General features: G+C 42.6%; 1 protein-coding gene, 1 long non-coding RNA gene and 1 pseudogene across 10 annotated transcripts in view, besides 1 other annotated feature; 1 reads left to right on the top strand and 2 right to left on the bottom strand.

Moving 5' to 3' along the window:
* Positions 1–24,930, bottom strand: part of PCMT1 (protein-L-isoaspartate (D-aspartate) O-methyltransferase) — a 61,727-nt gene that overhangs the window by 3,124 nt on the left and 33,673 nt on the right. For 3 of the 9 annotated variants that reach the window (NM_005389.2, NM_001252051.1, NM_001360452.2), the window contains 4 exons: positions 18,240–18,344; positions 14,629–14,749; positions 11,798–11,883; positions 5,882–6,098 (listed from right to left, as the gene is read on the bottom strand). In NM_005389.2, the coding sequence (NP_005380.2) occupies positions 5,919–6,098; positions 11,798–11,883; positions 14,629–14,749; positions 18,240–18,344 (492 nt within the window). In that variant the 3' untranslated portion in view covers positions 5,882–5,918. Of the gene's footprint in view, positions 1–5,766; positions 6,099–11,797; positions 11,884–14,628; positions 14,750–18,239; positions 18,345–24,930 lie in introns of those variants that run through there. The other 6 variants (NM_001252049.1, NM_001360456.1, XM_011535868.3 and 3 more) reach the window with 4 other exon arrangements.
* LOC107986660 (uncharacterized) lies at positions 2,959–5,173 on the top strand. The gene is made up of 2 exons (XR_001744415.1): positions 2,959–2,995; positions 4,505–5,173. It is a non-coding gene; the product is annotated as an uncharacterized LOC107986660 (long non-coding RNA).
* On the bottom strand, positions 12,549–13,091 carry BTBD10P2 (BTB domain containing 10 pseudogene 2; annotated as a pseudogene).
* Positions 22,452–22,954: an enhancer, noted in NCBI's record as "NANOG-H3K27ac hESC enhancer chr6:150106480-150106982 (GRCh37/hg19 assembly coordinates)". NCBI's record gives its function as "activates a minimal SCP1, AML or CMV promoter by ChIP-STARR-seq in naive H9 embryonic stem cells {active_cell/tissue: H9 hESC(naive)}" and the evidence as "EXISTENCE:reporter gene assay evidence [ECO:0000049][PMID:30033119]".

Here is a 24,930-nt window from a genome sequence, read left to right as displayed (position 1 = left end):
GTATGTACTAAATTTTTAGAAAGGCTCTTTAAAATTGCTATATACTATGCTAAATATATTCATTAGGTTAATAACTGTATATATTTCTACTAGTATATAATTATACATAATTTAATTATTTATTAGATTTTATTAACTCTATGATACTAACATTTAGTCTTATACATTCTTTACCAAGAATAAATGAAAAGATATACTATAAGGAAACAACAATCAAAATCCATGAACGTTTTCTAATAATTTCATGGATCTTCCAAGGTAATAAAAGTGTTGTACAATTTGCTTTGTACGAAGCACTATGAGAGACAAAAAGAATTCCAAAAGTAACAGAATATATCCCTGCTTTTAAGGATGTAATGTATGTCACAATACTGGAACATATGTAAAGAGATTAAAAAGGAACAATATAGAATATGGAACACGGGATCAATTGGATCCCTTAGCACCAATACTGTCAGTCTTGGAAATGCAGTCAATTCCTAACATCTTTTTCATAGATGCAAGGCACTTTAAGAAGACATCAATAAACAAAGAGCTTATGGAATAATAAACTTGAACATTCCTCAGTTTCACAAACTAAAGATGGACCAATTACACTAACTCTTGTGACTACTAAAAACAAAAATAGTCTGGGTGTGGTGGCTCACACCTGTAATTCCAGCAGTTTTGGAGGCTGAGGCGGGTGGATCACTTGATGTCAGGAGTTTGAGACCAGCCTGGTCAACACAGTGAAACCCCGTCTCTACTAAAAATACAAAAATTAGCCGGGCCTCGTGGTGCGTGCCTGTAGTCCCAGCTATGCGGGAGGCTGAGGCAGGAGAATCACTTGAACCCAGGAGGCGGAGGTGCAGTGAGCCAAGATCGCATCACTGCACTCCAGCCTGGGTGACAGAGCAAGACTCTGTCTCAAAAATATCTATAAATAAATAAAAATAAAACTTTTACCAGAAGATTAACAAAATATTTTTACATATAAATTATTTATTTAAAATAAAATAATACTTAAGAACTATTAACTTTCTGTAGCAACTAATACAACTATTACATGTCCATAGTCATGAACACAATTCCACAGATTCTAGGTCTCTGGCCTATAGATCTGGCATTGTCTCCCCTTCTATTAATCCACCAAAATTACAAGTGACATCTTTCCAAGTGTAAAAAGACTCAAGTCTACATTCAAGTTTGGATCTTTACTTGGTACTAGAATTCCACATGTCCACTAATTCTCATTTTTAAAAATACAGTTTCTGCCACATCGCCTCAGCAAAAATGGGATCTCACCCTCATCAGAGCACCGCAATTAGCTCTGGATTATTCCTCAGTAAGAAAGGTGGAAAGCTGGTGAGACACAAGAGAAGGTTCCTAGGAAAGTATTATAATGAGTTAAAGTAATCCTGAAGAAAGTTTGAGGCTGGTGGCTCAAGCCTGTAATCCCAGCACTTTGGGAGGCTGAGGTGGGTGGAACGCTTGAGCTCAGGAGTCCGAGACCAGCCTGGGCAACATGGCAAAACCCCTTGTCTACAAAAAAAACAAGAAAATCAGCTGAGTATGGTGGCACACCCTGTGGTCCCAGCTACTCAGAAGGCTGAGGCAGGGGGGATCGCTTGAGCCCAGGAGGTTGAGGCTGCAGTGAGCAGAGATCATGCCACTGCACTCCAGCCTGGGTGACAGAGAGAGACTGTATCAAAACAAAACAAAATAAAACAAAACAAAAACAAAAACGGAAAGTTTGAAAGAACAGAAATCACGTAGCCTGGCAAGAAGTTGACTAGGGAACTTTTTAGATGATAATTCCCAGAAAACAGTGACAGTATTTTAGATGTAGCTATCCACCCACTTCTCTCTATCCTTACTAACACTGCCTTAATGCAGACCATCATTTCATCCTTGAATTGCTATAACCACTTCCTGTTTCTGACTCGACTTTTGTCCCTTCCCAGGCTAGTCTCTACATAACAGCTAGAGTTATCTTTCTGAAATGTAATTCTGACCACTTCAATGCCTGGCTCCCTACCGCGAGTCTGAACACTACCCTATAACTGCCTATTCATCTTGGTCTTTGCATCTCCTACGTTACTGTAAGCTCCATGAGAGCAGTCAGTTTCAAATTCACAGCTGATGACTCCTGGCACCTAGTACAGTGCCTGGCCTAGTTGGCATATGCATATTGGTTGAATTCACGAATAATATTAAGAAGATCCTCACGCTGAAAAATATTTAGCAACTGAACAAATGGCCAAAGAAAAGCATCTACAACAGAAAAATTAGAAAGTCCTCCTGGTACACCTGGAGAAATTTTTTTTTTTTCTGATAGTGCGAACATGTAAGTTTGCTCAATTTTTTTTTTTTTTTTTTGAGACAGAGTCTTACTCTGTCGCCAGGTTAGAGTACAGTGGCACAATGTAGGCTCAATGCAACCTCCACCTCCCAGGTTCAAGTGATTCTCCTGCCTCAGCCTCCCGAGTAGCTGGAATTACAGGTGCCTGCCACCACGCCCAGCTAATTTTTGTATTGTTTTTTTAGTAGAGATGGAGTTTCACCATGTTGGCCAGGATGGTCTCGATCTCCTGACCTCGTGATCCGCCCGCCTCAGCCTCCCAAAGTGCTGGGATTACAGGCGTGAGCCACTGTGCCCAGCCTAAATTTGTTCAATTTTTAAAAAACTTTGAAGGTCAAAAAGAAAACCAGGTATACATTTTTTGAGACGGAGTCTCGCTCTGTTGCCCAGGCTGGAGTGCAATGGCGCGATCTCAGCTCACTGCAAGCTCGGCCTCCCAGGTTCACGCCATTCTCCTGCTTCAGCCTCCCGAGTAGCTGGGACTAGAGGTACCTGCCACCACGCCCGGCTAATTTTTTTGTATTTTTAGGAGAGACGGGGTTTCGCCATGTTACCCAGGATGGTCTCGATCTCCTGACCTTGTGATCTGCCCGCCTTGGCCTCCCAAAGTGCTGGGATTACAGGCGTGAGCCACTGCGCCCAGCCTAAAAGCAGGTATACATTTAATGTTTAGCAGATGACTAATTGTCCATAAATTTAAAAATTATTCTAAATATATTTTTTAAAGATAAGGTCTTGCTCTGTTGCCCAGCCTGGAATGCTGTGGTGATCACAGCTCACTGCCGCTTCTGGGCTTAAGTGATCCTCTTATCTCAGCCTCCCAAGTAGCCAGAACTAGAGGTGCACACCACTACGCCTGGCTAGTTCTTAAATTTTTAGTAGATACGAGGTCTCACTATGTTTCCCAGGCTTCTCTTGAACTTCTGGCCTCAAGTGATCCTCCCACCTCAACCTCCCAAAGCATTGGGATTACAGGCATAAGCCACCATACCTGGCCCTATTTTAAATTTCTTAATACAAATAGTTTGGTTTTATCAAAGGTGGATTCAGGTTTTGTGGGGGCCTAAGGTTTATATAATTAGAAAACAGGGGAACCTTTTTATGAAGTTAAAAAAAAAATCAGTAAGACTATGCATAATATAAAATTAAGAACAGGGCCAGGCATGGTGGCTGACACCTGTAATCCTAGCACTTTGGGAGGCCGAGGCGGGCAGATCACCTGAGGTCAGGAGTTCGAGACCAGCCTGGCCAACATGGTGAAACCCCTTCTCTACTAAAAATACAAAATTTAGCTGGGCGCCTATACTCTCAGCTACTTGGGAAGCTGAGGCAGGAGAATTGCTTGAACCTGGGAGACGGAGGTTGTAGTGAGCTGAGATTGCACCACTGCTCTACACAGCCTGGGTAACAGAGCAGGACTCCGTCTCAAAAAAAACACTTTTTTAAATTAAATTAAATTAAGAACAGGGTCAGAGAAAACCTAGACAAGCAAGGGCTCTGCAGCTTCAGCTTTGTTAGCTTCACAGTAAATCTACCTCTAGTCATAAAAACAAAATTCCCTTTTTATAATTCCTTCATAATTATAAATTATAAATTATAGGCAAGATGTTCAACACTAATATTTATTGTATATAAAAAGAAAAATTTCTAAGTTGCTAATGAAAATCAACTCTTCTTATCAAATTTCAGTAATTTCAGTAACATATTTGCCCCTTTTATACTACAATAATCTCACAATTATGTAATTGTATAAACCATACTAGAAGCAAAGTGAAGGAAGGTTTTAGTTAGTTGTTAATAACTACATCTGATTCCAGTTGAAAAAACCAGTAATTTTTTAAATGCCTTTTTAATTTTTTTTTTTTTTTTTTTTTTTGAGACAGAGTCTCGCTCTGTCACCCAGGCTAGAAGGCAGTAGTGTGATCTCGACTCACTGCAACCTCTGCCTCCTGGGTTCAAACAATTCTCCTGCCTCAGCCTCCTGAGTGCCTGGGACTACAGATGCAAGCCAACATGCCCAGCTAATTTTTGTGTTTTTAGTAGAGACAGGGTTTCACCATGTTGGCCAGGCTGGTCTCAAACTCCTGACTTAAGATGATTGGCTCACCTCAGCCTCCCAAAATGCCTGGACTAAAATGCTTTTTTTTTTTTTTTTTTTTCCAGTGGCTGTGCTCCACGTATAATTCACAGAAAATAGCTATTGGTGAAGAATAAAAACAACATTGAGAGATCTATTAAACTTATTATCACCCCTTTTACTTATTAAGAAACTAATTATTTTAAAATAAGAATCTTTATGTCAAATAAAAATAAGATGCTAAGACAAGGAAACTGTAAAGCCGTTCTTGTTTTGGCATTTAATTTCAAGTAATTTGAGCTAATGGCACTGTTATGTACTGATGTCACTCTCTCTCATGGAAGGGAGTGGGAAGGGGAGGAAAAGAGAAATCTTGGCTTCAAACAAAATATTCAGATTATGCTGAGACATAAAACAAAAGTGGACATTCTTTATAAACCATGCTGTGCTGAAAGTTGCTGCATGCTGCTGACCCTCTGGGTGGGTTTGTGAGACCTGGGCACTCATTGGGTAACTTGTAGAATCCTTGCCTCTTCCTAGGAATTTAGCCAGAATAGCTTAAACAGTGGCTGGCCTATTCTATAGAATGGGGAGAAGGTGACTCTTAAACAAGGCTGAATGAAAAATAGGCATGGGCTGTCAGGTATCTATGATTTGGTTGAAACAGATAAACCAAGCTGAGAGGTAGAATGTCCTCTCTGGTATTCTGACATTTTAGAAAACTGAGACGACCGTTATCTTTCCCCTTCTTTCTCCTTGTTGGTACAATAAACAGGGCAGGAAATGATGGCCCCTTGTTTTTTTTTTTTTTTTTTTTTTTTTTTTTTGAGACAGAGCCTTGCTCTGTCTCCCAGGCTGGAGTGCAGTGTCAAAATCTCGGCCCACTGCAACCTCCGCCTCCAGGGTTTAAGCAATTCTCCTGGCTCAGCCTCCCGAGTAGCTGGGATTACAGGCCTGTGCCATCACGCCCAGCTGATTTTGTATTTTTAATAGAGACGGGGTTTCACCATGTTGGCCAGGCTAGTCTCAAACTCCTGACCTCAAGTGATCCGCCCACCTAGGCCTCCCAAAGTGCTGGGATTACAGGCATGAGCCACTCCGCCTGGCCTCTTTTACAGACCAAACTCATTGTTTCCATGCCCATCCAGTGCTATAAAAATAATTTAAAAACATAAAAACAGAGTGGCTGATAATGAAGAAAAAATCCTTACAAAGTACTGAATTGAAGCTGAAAGTCTCTCTAAAAAAAAAACAAACAAACAAACAAAAAAAGCCTTTGTGCCAACCAAGTCTCACCCTCCCTTTCCCAAAGATATATATGTTAAACCAAAATAAGGGCAGACCATGCAACATTTTTCACATTTTTAATGTAATGAATTTCTGACGTTATAATGGAGGAGCATAAAGGTGACAACCAAAAACAGCTCTTGTAGTCTAATGTCTTAAAATCCACACCCTTTCACCTTGCATGTGTGGAAGAAGAAAGAGCAGAAGATAAAATCACTTCCACCTGGACCACTGCTTTTCTTTATCTGTTAAAGGCACGTATATCACCCCCATCAGAGGCTTCATTTTGATGCTGCCATCTTGTAGCTTGTCATACTGCTCCAACATTTGGTTTCCGCCTGCAGGACCAACAGGCAATATCAATCTTCCTCCGGGCTTTAACTGATCTATTAGCTAAAAGAAAAAAAAAAAAGCACATACATCACCAAGTTACAGATTTTATTTTATTTTATTTATTTATTTTTGAGACAGGGTCTCACTCTGTCGCCCAGGCTGGAGTGCAATGACACGATCTCAGCTCACTGCAACCTCTGCCTCCCAGGTTCAAGTGATTCTCCTGCCTCAGTCTCCCAAGTAGCTGGGACTACAGGCACACGCCACCATGCCCAGCTAATTTTTGTATTTTTAGTAGAGACAAGGTTTCACCATATTGGCCACACTGGTCTCGAACTCCTAACCTCAAGTACTCCACCCACCTCGGCTTCCCAAAGTGCTTGGATTACAGGCGTGAGCTACTGTGCCCGGCCCAGATTTTATATTAATAGTCATTTGACATCATTATAAACAACTTTTAGTGTCCATAGGCAGAAAGCAGAAACGTTCTTTATTTAGTATATACAAATTAAGGCCAGACACGGTGGCTCACGCCTGTGATCCCAGCACTTTGGGAGGCCAAGGTGGGCAGATCACTTGAGGTCAAGAGTTCAAGACCAGCCTGGCCAACACAGTGAAACTCCAACTCTACTAAAAAAGTACAAAATTAGCCAGGCATGGTGTCAGATGCCTGTAGTCCTATCTACTTGGGAGGCTGAGGCAGGAGAATTGCTTGAACCCAGAGATGGAGGCTGCAGTTAGCCAAGATCACGCCACCACACTCCAGCCTGGGTGACAGAGCGAGACTCCGTCTTAAAAATAAATACATAGTATATACAGGTTGAGCATCAATAATCTGAAAACCCGAAACTGGAAATGCTCCAAAATCCAAAACTCTGAACATCAACATGACACCACAAGTAGATAATTTCACACCTGACCTCATGTGGCAAGTCACAGTCAAAATGCAATCACAACTTTATTCCATGCACAAAATTATTTGAAATATTATACAAAATTACCTTCAGGCTATGTGTATAAGAGGTATAACATAAATGAGTTTTATGTTTAGACTTGGTCCCATTCCCAAGATATCTCATTATGTATATGTAAATATTCCAAAATGTGAAAAAATCTGAAAAAATCCAAAATCCAAAACACTTCTGGTCCCAAATATTTTGGAGAAGGGATACTCACCCTGTACATACTTTGATTGTTATATTATTACTCAACTATCAGCCTCCTCTATTAAACGACAAGCTCTTGAGGATGGGGACTGTGTCTTATTCATCTTTGTGTCTTTAGCATCTAACACAGTACCTGGTACAACTGTAGTGCTCAAAATGTTTGAACTGAACCAACTAATATAGAACTATCCTCTTGGCGGGCCAAAGGCAGAGCATAGAATTCTAATGCCTGTGTGCCTGTTTTGAATCTTTGTGGGTTTGAAGGAAGGAGGAGGGGAGGAGAGGAAGTGTAGAAAATCAGCAAGGAATCCCTATCCTATTATTGTAGAATCTAGGGCATCACTGAAGGGATAAGGGAACCCTAGTTATACGATTCAATTGAGGTTTACTGGTACCATAAGGAGGGAAGGTAGGGCTGGAGTCCCTGCAGTGTTAGAATGAGGACACTCCTGTCAATGAAGAACCAAGAGTACTCAATGGAAGCTCTTACAGTCAGAAAACTTTTAAATCATGTTACCATTTTCATATAGCTTTACGCATCACTATTAATAAAAAACATTAAAGAAGAAACCTTACTCTGGTTTTTTGTTTTGTTTTGTTTTTTGTTGTAGTTTTTTGTTGTTTTGAGACTGAGTCTCGCTCTGTCACCCAGGCTGGAGTGCAGTGGCACGATCTCGGCTCACTGCAACCTCCGCCTCCCAGGTTCAAGCAATTCTCATGCCTCAGCCTCCCAAGTAGCTGGGATTACAGGTGCCCACCACCGAGCCCGACTAATTTTTTTTGTATTTTTAATAGAGACGGGCTTTCAACATGTTGGCCAGGCTGGTCTCGAACTCCTAACCTCAAGTGATCCGCTCTCCTCGGCCTCTTAAAGTACTGGGATTACAGGCATGAGCCACCATGCCCAGCCAGAAACCTTACTTTGGATATTTATTACCTCAGGAAAGGGTGCCCTCAATCAAAGTTTTGGTTGTCTGCAAGTCTATCTTCTTGTTTTTCTCAATTTCAAGGCTTATAATGAAAAACAGCTGACTTCCTCTCCCTACCCCACCCTTGCTCTCTAAATCCAGTCATTTCAAATCCTTTTAGCTATGTCTTCTAGTATTTACCTTTATATTTCAAAACATACGCTAGATAAGGATTGAACTCCCTTAATCTACATTTTGCTTCCTTCCCCCAATCCAACCAATCATTTTTTATTAAAATCATTTCTAGTTATGACTGTGTAACTATGATTTGCTGCTGAGTCAAGAAGTATCCAATCATTGTTTCCTTTCCTCCTCTTGCTCCAAATCTGAGCTGGTTATTCTCCAGGCCTGCTGCACAGCTTCCATCCAGGCCCTTCCCTTTGTAACAATCCTGCAAACTTCCATGCCTCTGCCTGATTAAGATGCCCTATGTGGTTTCCTCTTTTGGTTTTTCCTACTATCTGTCTCTTCCCTCATTTCATTTTTGGATGACAAAAATGGCATTTTAATACATTAAATTTTAAGACATTTTAAGACATCTTAATCATTTAAGAAAGTTCCTTCAGAAGCATTTTGTGAAATAGTGCATGGAATGTATTAAAAGAAAGAGATGGAGATTTGCAAACCTAAAACTATCTTGGTGATGTGTGTGCATACAGAATTCGAGGTTGGAAATAATTTTCAACTCAGAATTTGATGGTTTGGTACTCTGACTTACGAATTCTAATGCTGTTTGCAGTCTGATGCCTTTCTGATTACCAGTCCTTAACAGGAGATCTGTTTTATTTTTCTAGAAGCTTTTATTTTTTTTAGAGACAGGGTCTTTCTCTGTCACCTCGGCTGGAATACAGTGGTGCAATCATGGTTCACTGAAATCTCAACTTCCTGGGCTCAAGCAATCCTCCCACCTCAGCCTCCCATGTAGCTGGGACTACAGGCACAGGCTGCCACATCTGGCTAATTTTAAAATTTTTTTGTACAGATGGGGTCTCGCTATGTTGCCCAGGCTGGTCTCAAACTCAGATCCTCAAGCGATCCTCCTTCCTTGGCCTCCCAAACTGCTGAGAAGTGTGAGCCACCACACCTGGCCTCTAGAGGCTTTCAGAATCTTCTCTTTATCCCCTAATATTCTGAATATAAATGATATGGTTGTTCTTTTTTCTTATTTTAAAAATTCTTTGTGTTAGAATTATGTCCATCAGTTTTTAGAAAATTTCTTACGTAGAGATTAGTGCTGATTATTCCTCATGCAGAGTCTCAAGCAGCATTCCCTCTTTTCAGACCCATGTTTTACCTATGATTTTCAAGGTCTTGATGCCACCAATTCCTAAGCCTTTTCAGAGTTTTGCAGTGCAAACTGCGTATGCATAATATTTCACTCTGTAGTCTCTTTAGTTTCTACTTCCTCTACCCTCCTGGGTCAGCTATTATTCCATCTGCTTTCTATCTTCACACACTGTGGAGTTCAGGACTGCAGGTATAGTCTCCTAGTTAATTGAGTATGGAGTTTATGCTTCTGTTTTTCTGGTTATCTTGGGGTGATATCCAAAAGAAGGCATAAACATCTTCATTCTGCTATCTTAAAACTGGAAAGCCCCTTCAGTACATCTATCTTAAATCAGATGTATACATACCCCTATAATACTTGCAAGTATTACTACAATATTTAAATTCAATTTAATTAAATCTAGAAATATCTTTCAAGATCACTTCAGGGTCCCAGTAGGGAGAAATGGGCCCTGCACCCACCCGCCTCATTTAAGCACAGTTCTATTTCAGATTTTAACTGTTCACTCTAGGTTATCAATATTTTTTTTGAAAAGTTAAAAACCCATTGGTCATGTGTTCAAATTCATTGAGCTGTTCGTTTATGACTTGTAAAATTTTCTACATTATATTAATACTTCAGTTAAAATGTGTAAAACCACCAGTTCAATCTACCTTTTTTTTTTTTTTTGAGACAGGGTCTCACTTTGTCACCCAGGCTGGAATGCAGTAGTACAAGCATGGCTCACTGCAGCCTCAACCTGTCAGGCTCACGCAATCCAAGCTATCCTCCCACCTCAGCCTCTTGAGTAGCTGGGACTACAAGTGCCTGCCACATCTAATTTTTTGTATTTTTTGTAGAGATGGAGTTTTGCCATGTTGCCCAGGCTGGTCTCGAACTTCTGAGCGCAAGTGATTCATCTGCCTTAGCCTCCCAAAGTGCTGGGATTACAGGCGTGAGCTACTTTTTTTTTTTAAACAGATAATCAACAGGGCCAAAGCAATTAAGTCATTTTCCCAGTCACTTGGCCAATAAGCAGCAAGTCAATGACCAGAACAAATTATACAACTTTCATCTTCCCATAACTGATCTAAGCCTACCAAAAAAACGGATGAGACTAGACAGAAGAAACAGTGTCACCTTCATCCCCGGTCATCTAGTCAAGAACTACGCAAAAGCCATATGTAACAGAAATCTAGGACCACAGGCTACAGTGCCATGGCACAAACATGGCTCAATGCAGCCTCAACAGCTTGGGCTCAAGCAATTCTCCCACCTCAGCCTCCAGAGTAGCTGGGGCTACAGGCATATGCGCCACTGTGCCTGGCTAATTTTTTTTTTAAACAGGGTCTTGCCATGTTACTCAGACTGGTCTCAAACTCCTAGGCTCAAGCAATCCTCCCACCTTGGCCTCCCAAGGTGCTGGGGTTACATGCATGAGCCACCATGCCCGGCCATATATCCTACTATTCTTTAAGATTCAGTTCAAGTTCCATCCGTGTGTGATGTCTCCTTGACCACTCACTGCACAATTCTCTCCCTCATATGCATATTTTATTTTCCTTCCAATAGATATCCTGTGTTAATTATATGTTATCATATCGCTAATTTCCCAGTTACATATATGACATATCTCTTCTAGAATACAAGCTTTGTGAGAATATAATGTATGGCAAATACTTTCTCATATCTCCCATACACCAAATACAGCCTTACATATTCTGCTATTTAAAAAACATCAAACTGGCCGGGTGCAGTGGCTCACACCTGTAATCCCAGCACTTTCGGAGGCTGAGGCGGGCAGATCACCCGAGGTCAGGAGTTCGAGACCAGCCTGGCCAACATGGTGAAACCCCGTCTCTACTAAAAATACAAAAATTAGCTGGGCGTGGTGGCGGGCGCCTGTTATCCCAGCTACTCGGGAGGCTAAGGCAGGAGAATCACTTGAACCCGGGAGGCGGAGGTTGCAGTGAGCTGAAATTGGGCCACTGCACTCCAGCCTGGGTGACAAGAGCAAAACTCCACCTCAAAAACAAAAAACAAAAAACAAAAAACAAACAAACAAAAAAAACCTGATTATCAGGTCATAAACTCCAGAGGGATTTTCCCAATTCTACTGTTGTCCTAGTTCTTACCTGGATCAAATATGAGCGCCACAAACTGGGGTTTAGTAATTTTCATGTCATTTATACAATTGTTTGCATATGAAAAAAGAAAAGAGTAACAGCTAAATGTAACCAAAATGTATGATATAAAAGTCTAATTATATTTTGAACATCATCTAGAAGTCTTTTCTATTTAAGTCTTGTAGAGTTTTAGTTGAATAAAAACACACAAACAGAAAAAATCCCGACTCACCGCCTGGGGTACAACAGGGGCTGCAGCTCCCACATGAATGGCATCATAAGGGGCTTCTTCAGCATATCCCATTCTTCCATCCCCCACTGAAAGAAAAACAGCTATGCTTTAAAAACCTGTTTAGATCAAACTTAATGTGAAGAATTCTAGTACAGGAGGTTTACAATGGAGAAAGGATAGATTTTTCAATAAATGATCCTGGGACAACTGGATATTCACTTTTTTGCTGTTTTTAACTCATTTTATTTTATTTTTTGTTTGGTCAGAAACATTAAAACAATGGAATTTTATTTTGATGAAAAACTGGAGTTAACAATCATTTAGTAAATGAAAAGCGCTTCATTTTCCTATCTCACAACTCTTTTTTTTGAACTCCTGACCTCAGGTGATCCACCCGCCTCAGCCTCCCAAAGTGCTGGGTTTACAGGTGTGAGACACTGCGCCCAGCCTCTATCCCACAACTCTTAAGAACGAAAGCATTAGTAAATAAATATCTGTGAACAGATTAAGGATAAGGCAGACTGGATAATAAACCACCTCTGACGTTCACACTCCCTGCACGTGACTCACTCTAAAGCATGAAACGGCACTGGAGATAACGGAACTGAAAAGTTCTGTTTTAAATCTCATCCTAATCATTCAAATAAGCCCAAGATAAATATTTTTTGCTCCTTATGGGCAGCAAACTATATGAATTTTACTGGAGGAATACTTTGGCAGCAGCACCTATTTAAGTTAACTTAAGATATAGTACCTTAATAGTACTACATTCAAAAGACATACATAGATAGTCCCATGCTTCTCTCAATTCAGGAACAGTTATGCCATCAGGACAACAGGTAATTCCTATTTTATAGTAATCCAGAATAGATTGAAACACAGTGGAACCAATTCCCTCTGCTACTTCATACTCTCCTTTCTCATTGGGTTGTGTAAAGTTGTGTTCTCGGCCAGATCCAAACAAACATCCTGCCCAACACTGTATTTGGCTGTGCAGTAGAAACGGATGGGTCTACAACAAATATAGTGTTACTCACTATTGGTGCTATTTGTTCTTATGTTCTTATATTCAGAGCTCCTTCTTTTGCATTCTCAAATACAAACACCATCTCCCCAGATATCTTAACAGCTATTATCTAAACTTGACTGACTAGTGTTTCTACTGCTGTTCCCAGTACTGCTAATGGAACCATCTGGAGAGGCTTTTGGAGAACAAGGACTGCTTGGACGAGAGGAACTGTGATCTTTTTCTCATGCAACATGGCGCTGTCGTGTTGGAGAAGTTAACATTTCTTTTTTTTTTTTTTGAGACGAAGTCTCGCTCTTGTCTGCCAGGCTAGAGTGCAATGGCGTGATCTCAGCTCACTGCAACCTCCGCCTCCCAGGTTCAAGCGATTCTCCTGCCTCAGCCTCCTGAGTAGCTAGGATTACAGGTGCCTGCCACCATGCCTGGCTTATTTCTGTATTTTTAGTAGAGACGGGGTTTCACCATGTTGGCCAGGCTGGTCTCGAACTCCTGACAAGTGATCCGCCCGCCTTGGCCTCCCAAAGTGCTGGGATTACAGGCATGAGCCACCACATCCAGCCAGAGAAGAAACGTTTCTAATACAAGAAGTGAGTTGAGACTCTGTTCTTTCATGAGATGAATCCCGTGATCTGTCACTTGACCTTCGTCTATCTCTTGATCTCTCATGTCCCTCACTGGCAACATGAGACTCATTTTGGTGTGGTTTACTCCTGTATTCCCCTTTCAGTGTCCACACAGGATCAGGGCAAAGGCCAAGGCAAGCAACACCTCCACTTCCTCCTCAGCCAGATCCCTCTAGGGGATGGCTGTGGCTACTAGAGCTGCCCGGGCCTTTATTTTATTTTATTTGTTTTTTTGAGACGGACTCTAGCTCTGTCGCCAGACTGTAGTTCAGTGGTGCGATCTCAGCTTACTGCAACCTCCACCTCTCGGGTTCAAGCGATTCTCCTGCCTCAGCCTCCCGAGTAGCTAGGACTACAGGCGTGCGCCACCACGCCCAGCTTATTTTTGTATTTTTAGTAGAGACGGAGTTTCACCATGTTGGTCAGGCTGGTCTCAAACTCTTGACCTCATGATCTGCCCACCTCAGCCTCCCAAAGTGCTGGGATTACAGGTGTGAGCCACCGCTCCTGGCCAATATTTTATCTTTTAAACAAAACTGAGTGTGTCTGGGGAATACAACTGGATATTCATACACAAAAACATATAACTGCACCTTTACCTCACACATACACAAAAACCAACATCAGGAAGATCAAAAACCTAAACATGAAAAGCTAAAAATGATAAAGGTTCTAAGAAATAATAAGAGACATATCTTCATGGTCTCAGAGTATCCTTAAAAAGGACACAGAAAGCACTGAAAAAAATTGGTAAGTCTGACTACATTAAAATTAAGAATTTCTATTATCAAAAGGGTACCAATAAGATGAAAAGGCACACCTCAGATGGGAGAAGAAATGTATTTATATATATAGACAAAGGGCTAGAAGCCCTGTAAGTCAAAAATACAAGCAATCCAATATCTGAACAGGTACTTCACAAAAGACAAAATCCTAATGGTCAGACACATTACAAAAAATTCAATCTCAGAGGTTAATAGGAAAATACAAAATTAAACTCACAAAGAGATGGCTGCAAAATACACACTAGGTGAGCAAAAATAATCGTTTTTATTTTTTAGTACTTAAAAGTGATTGTAAAAAAAAATACAATAATTACCTCTGAGTATTATTTAGCTTGCATTGGATCTTCTGAAAATAAAAATCCTCTGAAGAAATTTTTAAAGTTTTCTGATACTTACCAACAAGCTGTACTCTCCCTGAAGACAGAAGTGTTGGATCGTCCTTCCTGACATTATTTACTGAGTCATCTACTAGCTCTTTAATGTGATCAATTCCTATGACTTTTCCAGTACATCCAACCTGGAAAAGAGAAAACAATTCAGTAGCTCATTGGGCTAAATTTGTTTTTCTAAAGTATTATTGAAGTTTTTCCTTATCGAAAGTCATATTCTACAAAGAGAAAACAAAAATAGCTTAAGGCTTCTATAGATTGCTAAACACTCAGTTTATCATAAATTATTTACCATATATACAACTTTCTCAACTATCACTCTCATTGAATAAAACTTGTAATACTAAGAAAAATTATATCTTTCTTAGATTAAATCTAGAACTTTGAAGAAAATTACCAATATTTAATAGTAGTACAATAATTTTTTATTTAAATTCCATCTAAAGTATAACTTTAAATATTAAAATGTTACATAAAGAATTTGACAGGGAGGAATTTCTTTTTTTTTTTTTTTGAGAGAGAGTCTCGCTCTGTCACCCAGGCTGGAGTACAGTGGCACGATCTCAGCTCACTGCAACCTCTGCCTCCCAGGTTCAAGCAATTCTCCTGCCTCAGCCTCCTGAGTAGCTGGGACTACAGGCCCCCGCCACCATGCCCAGCTAATTTTTTTGTATTTTTAGTAGAGACAGGGTTTCACCACGTTGGTCAGGCTGGTCTCAAATTCCTGACCTCGTGATCTGCCCGCCTTGGCCTCCCAGAGTGCTGGGATTACAGGACTGAGCCACCACACACCCTGCCTCCCGCCTGATGGGAAGGAATTTCTACACTTGTTTCTACTGCTTTTAGTAGAAAACATGAAAATATATACAGTGGCTCACACCTATAATCCCAGCACTTTGGGAGGCAGAGGCAGGTAGACTGCTTGAGCCCAGGAGTTTGAGACCAGCCTGAGCAACATGGCAAAACCCCATCTCTACAAAAGAATACAAAAACTAGCCAGGTGTGGTAGCATGTGCCTCCTAAGTCCCAGCTACTTAGGAGGCTGATGTGGTGTGAGGATCACTTGAGCCTGGGAGGCAGAGGCTGCAGTGAGTTGAGATCGTGCCACTGCACTCCAGCCTGGATGACAGACTGAGACCCTGTCTCAGAAAACAAACAAAAAGCAACAACAACAAAAATCCCTTCTTTGCATATTTATTTGTAAATTAAAATATTAAGTATAAATGTTTCAAGAAAAAATATAAAAATTTAAAAAATTAACACATAAAGGCTTTGAAGTCAAACTATCTGGGTTCTTGTCTAAGTGTCATCACTTACATACATACATACCTTGGCAAGTTAACCGTTCCTTCTTTTTTTTTTGAGATAAAGTCTCGCTTTGTTGGCCAGGCTGGAGTACAGTGGCGTGATCTCAGCTCACTGCAACCTCTGTCTCCCGGGCTCAAGCAATTCTCCTGCCTCAGCCTCCCAAATAGCTGGGATTACAGGCGTGTGCCACCACACCCAGCTAATTTTTGTATTTTTAGTGGAGACGGGGTTTCACCATGTTGGCCAGGCTGGTCTCGAACTCCAGACCTCAGGTGATCCACCTGCCTCGGCCTCCCAAAGTGCTGGGATTACAGGCGTGAGCCACCACACCCGGCCTATCATTCCTTGTATGAATCAGGTTCCTCAGTACAAAATGGGGAGGAAAAAGGCATAAACCCCATCATAAAAATGGGGTAGCACTTAGAACACAGGCTCTAGTGCTTAAAACACAAAGTACTTTCACACATGGTAAATGTGTGAAAAACATTAATGCCATTTTATGAAAAACAACTCAGAAACCAAATGATTTTTTAAAATGAATACATCCTCTAAAACTATAAACATGTCAAGTATAGAGAATGAGTCATTTATTAAATGGCATTTCTAACCTTAAAAAAAATCACTGATATCCATTAATGAGGACTTAACCTCTACAAAATGAGCAAAACATCTGAGAAAATATGAGTCCTTATTATGTGCCAGGCATTGTTTTAGATGTTTAGGATACCATCATGATAAAAAAGAGCAGACAAAATTTCCAACTCCCTGGAGCTTACATTCTAGTAAGTCTGCTGATTATACATTTATAGCAAGTTACATGGATTCTAGTCCAAGGTGGATCCACAACTCCCAATTTAACTAGATCAGAATATTCCAATCTGTCCTCCAGGCACGATATTTCTCAAATCAAACTGATGTGATGATCTAAGCAATGATCAACCTTTACTCCAACATATATTAGTGGGTCCCCAGTTAATACTCTGGATAGCCATTGACCAGATAAGACTCTGATGAGAAAAGGCAGAAGTATAACAAGGCATTATTTTTCTAAGAGCACTTTTTCTAATGCAGAAGTTTTACCTTCATCCTGGTAAATCTGCAGGAATGTTTAGAAACCAGGCTCATTCTGGGCAGGGACAGTGGAGAGGGTGCTGGGAAATGAGTCCCCTGGGAGACGGGGCCCAGCTACGATGCTAAATATCTCAGGCTCCTGAGTGACTGGATTTCCCTGGGACCCTCAGACATGTCCCAGGGCCCGGTGGGGAAACTGAGGCCTGTACAAGGAAGTAGAATTCTGAGTTGTCGGGGCTAAGCCTGACCCCCTCTCCATGCTAAGCCCACCCCCCACACTGTGCCTCAGTAGGTTTTTGTTGTTGTTGTTGTTGCCCAGGCTGGAGTGCAGTGGTGCAATCAAGGCTTACTGCACCTCCACCTCCTGGGCTCAAGGGATTTTCCTGCCTCAGCCTCCTGAATAGCTGGGACTGCAGGTGCTCCACCATGCCTGGCTAATTTTTCTATTTTTAGTAGAGATGGGGTTTCACCACGTTGGCCAGGCTGGTCTCGAACTCCTGGCCTCATGTGATCTGCCTGCCTAAGCCTCCCAAAGTGCTGGGATTATAGGTGTGAGCCACCGCGTCTGGTCCCTCAGTAGGTTTTAAGGAGCCTCCAGCCTTCCTTCTCCCCTTCTGGGCCTGACCAGCTATACTGCTCTGTCTCCCCCAGCCACATGCCCCACCAAGTACTGTAGAGAGTCCCCTACCCAGGGTCCCTGCACCATGAGATAAGGTGAAATACCAACTGTGGACCAAATGCAATAAAACCTCTGTTTTTAAGAAGAAAAAAAAAAAAAAAAGAAAAGAAAACCAGGCTTATTCTATTCTTTTCTGCCAAATCAGAACTTGGAAGAAGGTAGTTTGGGAGCTACTGGCCACCATCTTGTGATTACAAGGGTAGAGCTTACCGGATAATGACACCAACATGTGGAGGAAAGTAAAGCCAAATCAAGAAACAGAGAGAACCCTATCGTCAATAACAACATCTGCTCTTCTAAATCCAGCCACACAACAGACCGTATACACCCCTAGACTTTTCTGTTATATGAACTAAATAAACTCCCTTTTAGCTCTGCCAGTTTGGGTTGCATGTTCTGTCACTTGCAACAACAACAAAATCCTAAGTGATGCTCATTCCAACTGCTATCCTAATAGAATTAACAAACAAATAAACATGAAAACCACTAGTTAAAAAAACATACAGCCAAATCATATAATATTCTTCTGTTGGGGCCAGAGTGAGAAATAAAACTCTTACCATACGTGCAAAACATGCAGTAAGGATTCCACTTCCAGATCCTACATCAAGAGCTTTAGCTCCTTCATGCAACTGATCAAATAGAAGTTCTAGCGCATATGCATGCTGCCAAAAGAAAACAAAATATTCATTAAGACTAAAGTACACACATCATGGTATATAAATAAAGTTGCCAACTTTCTACCAATTTTTCTACTATTGTCATCTACCAAGATAACCAAGTTATCTTGGCTATCTGCCCAGGTATTACTTAAGTAAACTGTTTGATTAGAATTCTTACATTCAGATCATGTGTTTCAGTAATTTTAGACCTCCAGTGTGTGAATTTTTAACTTTTAATTAATTCAGTAAAAAAATTAAAAGATTTATAAGTGAAAAGTCTCCACCCTACTCCCATTTCCAACCATCCAGGTTTCACTCTGTAAAGGTAACCAATATTACTAGTTTCTTGTGACTCCTTCCAAAAAGGAAGGAATAGATTCTTTGCATATATAAGCAAATACAAAAATACAAAGGCTAATTTTGTATTTTTAATAGAGATGAGGTTTCTCCATGTTGGTCAGGCTGGTCTCGAACTCTCGACCTCAGGTGATCCGCCCACCTCGGCCTCCCAAAGTGCTGGGATGACATACATAAGCCACCACACCCAGCCAGTATTCTCATTATTAAAAATAATCAGATCAGGCTGGGCGTGGTGGCTCAGGCCTGACATTCCAGCACTTTGGGAGGCTGAGGCAGGTAGATCACGAGGTCAGGAGTTCAAGACCAGTCTGGCTAAGATGGTGAAACTCCATCTCTACTAAAAATACAAGAAAATTAGCTGGGCATGGTGGCAGCCACCTGTAATCCCAGCTACTCGGGAGGCTGAGGCAGAGAACTGCTTGAACCCGGGACGGGGAGATTGCAGTGATCCGAGATCATGCCACTGCACTCCAGCCTGGGCTGTAACAGAGCGAGACTCCATCTCAAAAAAAAAAAAAAAAAAAAAAAAATCAGATCCAATAGCAGTAAACACATTTACTACCAGATCTTGGTTGATAAAAATACCCATCCATTAATCTATAGTGATAAATTAATACATCATTCTATACATATATAAATGAAAAATAGGGAAAACCGTTCCCAACAAATATATAGATACATAATGAATGCACATAGAAAAAATTAAGAAAATCAGCCTTTGGGCAGCCATCTCAATAATAACTGATTGATTCAGGTAAAAATCATAAATGGAAGCTAAAACTAGTGGACTAACATTTGAAAAATAAACAGGATATTTACATAATCTCAAAGGGTTTGCCCCAGATAATTATTAATCACAAAAGGAAAAATAGTAATTTTACAATGGAGTTCAGAAAAAAGTTCTCCAGTGGAAAAACTGGGTCAACACTACCTTAATCAGATGATCAAAGTTAACACCACAATTATGGGACACACTGACATCAAATGCCTCTGCTAAGATACTTCATTTCTGGGATATGCCAGGCAAAAATGCATAACCTATATTGAATTATGAGGAAACATCAAACAAACCCAAATTGAGGGACATTATACAAAATAAATGGCCCATATTCGTAAAAATTTTCAAGGTTTTCAAGGTCATAAAAGAATAAGGAACCATTTCTCAGTCATTCTTTAAAGGAAACTAAAAAGACATGACAATCAAATAAAACTCACAATCTACTATTTTCTTTTCCTATAAGGAATATTATCAGAATAATTGATGAAATCTGAATAAGGTCTATAAATTGGCTAATAGTGTTATATCAATGCTGACTTCCAGATTTCAAAAATTGTACTATGGGTATGTAAGAGAATGTCCTTATTTTTAAAGGTAAAGAGCATTGGCCGGGCACAGTGGCTCACACCTGTAATCCCAGCACTTTGGGAGGCCGAGGCGGATCACGAGGTCAGGAGATCGAGACCATCCTGGCTAACACAGTAAAACCCCATCTCTACTAAAAATACAAAAAATTAGCTGGGCGTGGTGGTGGGCGCCTGTAGTCCCAGTTACTTGGGAGGCTGAGGCAGGACAATGGCGTGAACCCGAGAGGCGGAGCTTGCAGTGAGCTGAGAACGTGCCACTGCACCACTGCACCCCAGCCTGGGCGACAGAGCAAGACTCCATCTCAAAAAAAGTTAAAGGTAAAGAGCATTATGCCTGTAATTTACCCTCAAAGAGCTCAGAAAAACGGAAATATAATACACACACATACACACACACACACACACACAGAGGAGAGAGGGGATAAAGGGAGAGAGAATAAATGATAAAGCAAATGGTGAGATTTGCTTTACCAATGGTAAGACTGTGTGGACAAAAGTACACAGGAACTGTACTATCTGCATAATATTTCTGTAAGTCAGAAATTATGTCAAAGATTTAAAAACATTTGGGCCGGGCATGGTGGCTCACACCTGTAATCCCAGCACTTTGAGAGGCCGAGGCGGGCAGATGACCTAAGGTCAGGAGTTCAAGACCAGCCTGCCCAACATGATGAAACCCTGTCTCTGCTAAAAATACAAAAAATTAGCCGGGCGTGGTGGCGGCTGTAATCCCAGCTACTGGGAAGCTGAAGCAGGAGAATCGCTTGAACCCGGGAGGTGGATGTTGCAGTGAGCCAAGATGGCGCCACTGCACTCCAGCCTGGGTGACAGAGCGAGATTCCGTCTCAAAAAAAAAAAAAAATTATAACTATTTTATCAATGAAAACAGCCAGCTCCCGCTCCCGCTCCCTCTCCCTCTCCCTCTCCCCACGGTCTCCCTCTACCCACGGTCTCCCTCTCTTTCCACGGTCTCCCTCTGATGCCGAGCCGAAGCTGGACTGTACTGCCGCCATCTCAACTCACTGCAATCTCCCTGCCTGATTCTCCTGCCTCAGCCTGCCGAGTGCCTGCGATTGCAGGCGCGCGCCACCACACCTGACTGGTTTTCGTATTTTTTTGGTGGAGACGGGGTTTCGCTGTGTTGGCCGGGCTGGTCTCCAGCTCCTAACCGGAGTGATCCACCAGCCTCGGCCTCCCGAGGTGCCAGGATTGCAGACAGAGTCTCGCTCACTCAGTGCTCAATGGTGCCCAGGCTGGAGTGCAGTGGCGTGATCTCGGCTAGCTACAACCTCTACCTCCCAGCCGCCTGCCTTGGCCTCCCAAAGTGCCGAGATTGCAGCCTCTGCCCGGCCGCCACCCCGTCTGGGATATGAGGAGCGTCTCTGCCCAGCCGCCATCCCATCTAGGAAGTGAGGAGCGCCTCTTTCCGGCCACCATCCCATCTAGGAAGTGAGGAGCGTCTCTGCTCAGCCGCCCATCGTCTGAGATGTGGGGAGCGCCTCTGCCCCGCCGCCCCGTCTGGGATGTGAGGAGCGCCTCTGCCCGGCCGCGACCCCGTCTGGGAGGTGAGGAGCGTCTCTGCCCGGCCGCGACCCCGTCTGGGAGGTGAGGAGCGTCTCTGCCCGGCCGCCCCATCTGAGAAGTGAGGAGACCCTCTGCCTGGCAACCGCCCCGTCTGAGAAGTGAGGAGCCCCTCCGCCCGGCAGCCGCCCCGTCTGAGAAGTGAGGAGCCCCTCCGCCTGGCAGCCACCCCGTCTGGGAAGTGAGGAGCGTCTCCGCCCAGCAGCCACCCCGTCCGGGAGGGAGGTGGGGGGTCAGCCCCCGCCCGGCCAGCCACCCCGTCCGGGAGGGAGGTGGGGGGGTCAGCCCCCCGCCCGGCCAGCCGCCCCGTCCGGGAGGGAGGTGGGGGGGTCAGCCCCCGCCCGGCCAGCCGCCCCGTCCTGGAGGGAGGTGGGGGGGGTCAGCACCCCCGCCCGGCCAGCCGCCCTGTCCCGTCTGGGAGGGAGGTGGGGGGGTCAGCCCCCCCGCCCGGCCAGCCGCCCCGTCTGGGAGGGAGGTTGGGGGGTCAGCCCCCCGCCCGGCCAGCCGCCCCGTCCGGGAGGTGAGGGGCGCCTCTGCCCGGCCGCCCCTACTGGGAAGGAGGAGCTCCTCTGCCCGGCTAGCCACCCCGTCCGGGAGGGAGGTGGGGGGGTCAGCCCCCCGCCCGGCCAGCCGCCCCGTCCGGGAGGTGAGGGGCGCCTCTGCCCGGCCGCCCCTACTGGGAAGTGAGGAGCCCCTCTGCCCGGCCACCACCCCGTCTGGGAGGTGTGCCCAACAGCTCATTGAGAACGGGCCAGGATGACAATGGCGGCTTTGTGGAATAGAAAGGGGGGAAAGGTGGGGAAGAGATTGAGAAATCGGATGGTTGCCGTGTCTGTGTAGAAAGAAGTAGACATGGGAGACTTTTCATTTTGTTCTGTACTAAGAAAAATTCTTCTGCCTTGGGATCCTGTTGATCTGTGACCTTACCCCCAACCCTGTGCTCTCTGAAACAAGTGCTGTGTCCACTCAGGGTTAAATGGATTAAGGGCGGTGCAAGATGTGCTTTGTTAAACAGATGCTTGAAGGCAGCGTGCTCGTTAAGAGTCATCACCACTCCCTAATCTCAAGTACCCAGGGACACAAACACTGCGGAAGGCCTCAGGGTCCTCTGCCTAGGAAAACCAGAGACCTTTGTTCACTTGTTTATCTGCTGACCTTCCCTCCACTATTGTCCTATGACCCTGCCAAATCCCCCTCTGCGAGAAACACCCAAGAATGATCAATAAAAAAAAATAAAAATAAAAAAAAAGAACTGAATAAACATACCACATTTAAATTAAAAAAAAAAAAAAAAAGAAAACAGCCAATGCCAAAGAGAAAGATAGAACGAAAATGCCCTATTCCATGGAACAATTAAAAAAAAATTAACAACTACTTATTCCAGTCACTAAAAGTGGATGACCAGACATTATGGACCTCCTGATATGATGCAACAGGAAGGACCATTAGGAAGTGTTCCTGAAAAAAAAAGTTTTAAGAATAAGTCAACCACCACTAGGAAACAATTAACCAAATTCAGAATATGGGAAATTCTATATAACAAATGAACTACTTTAGTCAATAAACAAATGGCATTTAAAAAAAGAAAGGGGTCTTTCTTTAAAAATTAAAAGATACTTTAAAAAACTGAAACAAGACCAAAAATATGCAATGTATAGACTCTGTGTGGATACTGATTTAAGCGAATTAACTATAAAAATTTTTAAGCACCTGGCAAACTTTGAACGTGGAGTAGACATAAGATATTAAGAAACATTGTTAGGTATGATAATGACATTGTAGTTTATGTTTAAAGTCATTGAGATTTATAATAAAGTATCCAGGGATGAAATAATATTATGTATGTTTGGGATTTGCTTTAAAATACTTCAGCAAAAGAGAGAGTTACACTAGGAGCAGTGGTTCATAGCCTGTAATCCCAGTCTTTGGGAGGCCGAGGTGGGTGGATTGCTTAAGTTCAGGAGTTCAAGACCAGCCTGGGCAACACAGCGATACCCCATCTCTACAAAAATACAAAAATGAGGTGGATGTGGTGGTGCACACCTGTAGTCCCAGCTACTCGAGAGGCTGAGGTGAGAGGATGATTTGAGCCCAGCAGGCCGCAGTGAGCTGAGATTGCGCTACTACATTCCAGCCTGGGCCACAGAGCATGACTCTGCCTCAAAAAAAAAAAAAGAGAGAGTTAAATAAAACAAGATTAGTAAATTGTTGGTCATTATTAAAGCTGGGTGATTTATAGGTTCATTATACTATTTTATTTGTATATATGGTACTGGAACTCTTCCATAATTTTCCATAATAAGAAGTTGTGTTTTTATTTAAAGCTAAGGTTTCCAAGCACTTGGGAGCTTAAAAAAAGAATTTTTAAAAAGTTAAAGCTATCTTTTCCCCCAACTTATATATGGAGAGAAGGCCTTGAATAGATACAGCCTCACATAATCCAAGACATTTCAAACTTTCAAACCAGAAAGTCCTTAATGTTCCACAGAACCCTTTTAGGGGTAACACACAAATATGTGTTAAATGGCTGTTTTTTCCCCCAATATATTCAAGGTTCATGCATTACATTTGCCAATCTAGAATGTTCCCCCAATTATCTCCCTCCACCTACCACTTTGCTCTGTTCTTCAGGACACTGACTCATTTAAGGAGTCCTGGCAAGGCATGGTGACTTATACCTATAATCCGAGTGCTCTGAAAGGCCAAAGTGGAAGGATAACTTGAGACCAGGAGTTTGAAATAAGCCTGGACAACACAGTTGAGACCGTATGTCTACAAAAAAGTTAAAAATTATCTGAGTGTGGGTCATGGCACATGCCTATAGTCCCAGCTCCTTGGGAGGCAGAGGCAGGAAGATCACTGGAGCTGAAGAGCTTGAGGTTATAGTGAGCTATGATCTTTGCACTCCAGCCTGGGCAACAGAGCAAGACCCTGTCTCAGGGGGGAGAAAAAAAAAGAGTCCTGTCCAGTTGTCCCACACATAATGCACCACATTCTAGATGTCTCTGCTTCCTCAGGGTTAGATTCAGATCAAAGACGTCTAGCAAGAACACACGCAAGTCTTGCTATGCAACTCCCTAAGAGCATCACATTAAGAAGTATATAATATTGGACCACCACACCACCGGACATGTCAACCTCAACCACTCAGTAAATGTGGTCACCAATAGATCACTCTACTTTCAAGGCATATTTTTTTCTTTATAATTAATAACATGTGGGACGGGTGCGGTGGCTTATGCCTCTTATCCCAGCACTTTGGGAGGCTGAGGTGGGCAGATCA

This window comes from Homo sapiens, chromosome 6 (assembly GCF_000001405.40).
Source record: "Homo sapiens chromosome 6, GRCh38.p14 Primary Assembly".
Classification (NCBI taxonomy): Eukaryota; Metazoa; Chordata; class Mammalia; order Primates; family Hominidae; genus Homo; species Homo sapiens.
Note: the sequence above shows the minus strand (reverse complement) of the source record. Positions and strands in the feature narration are given on the sequence as shown.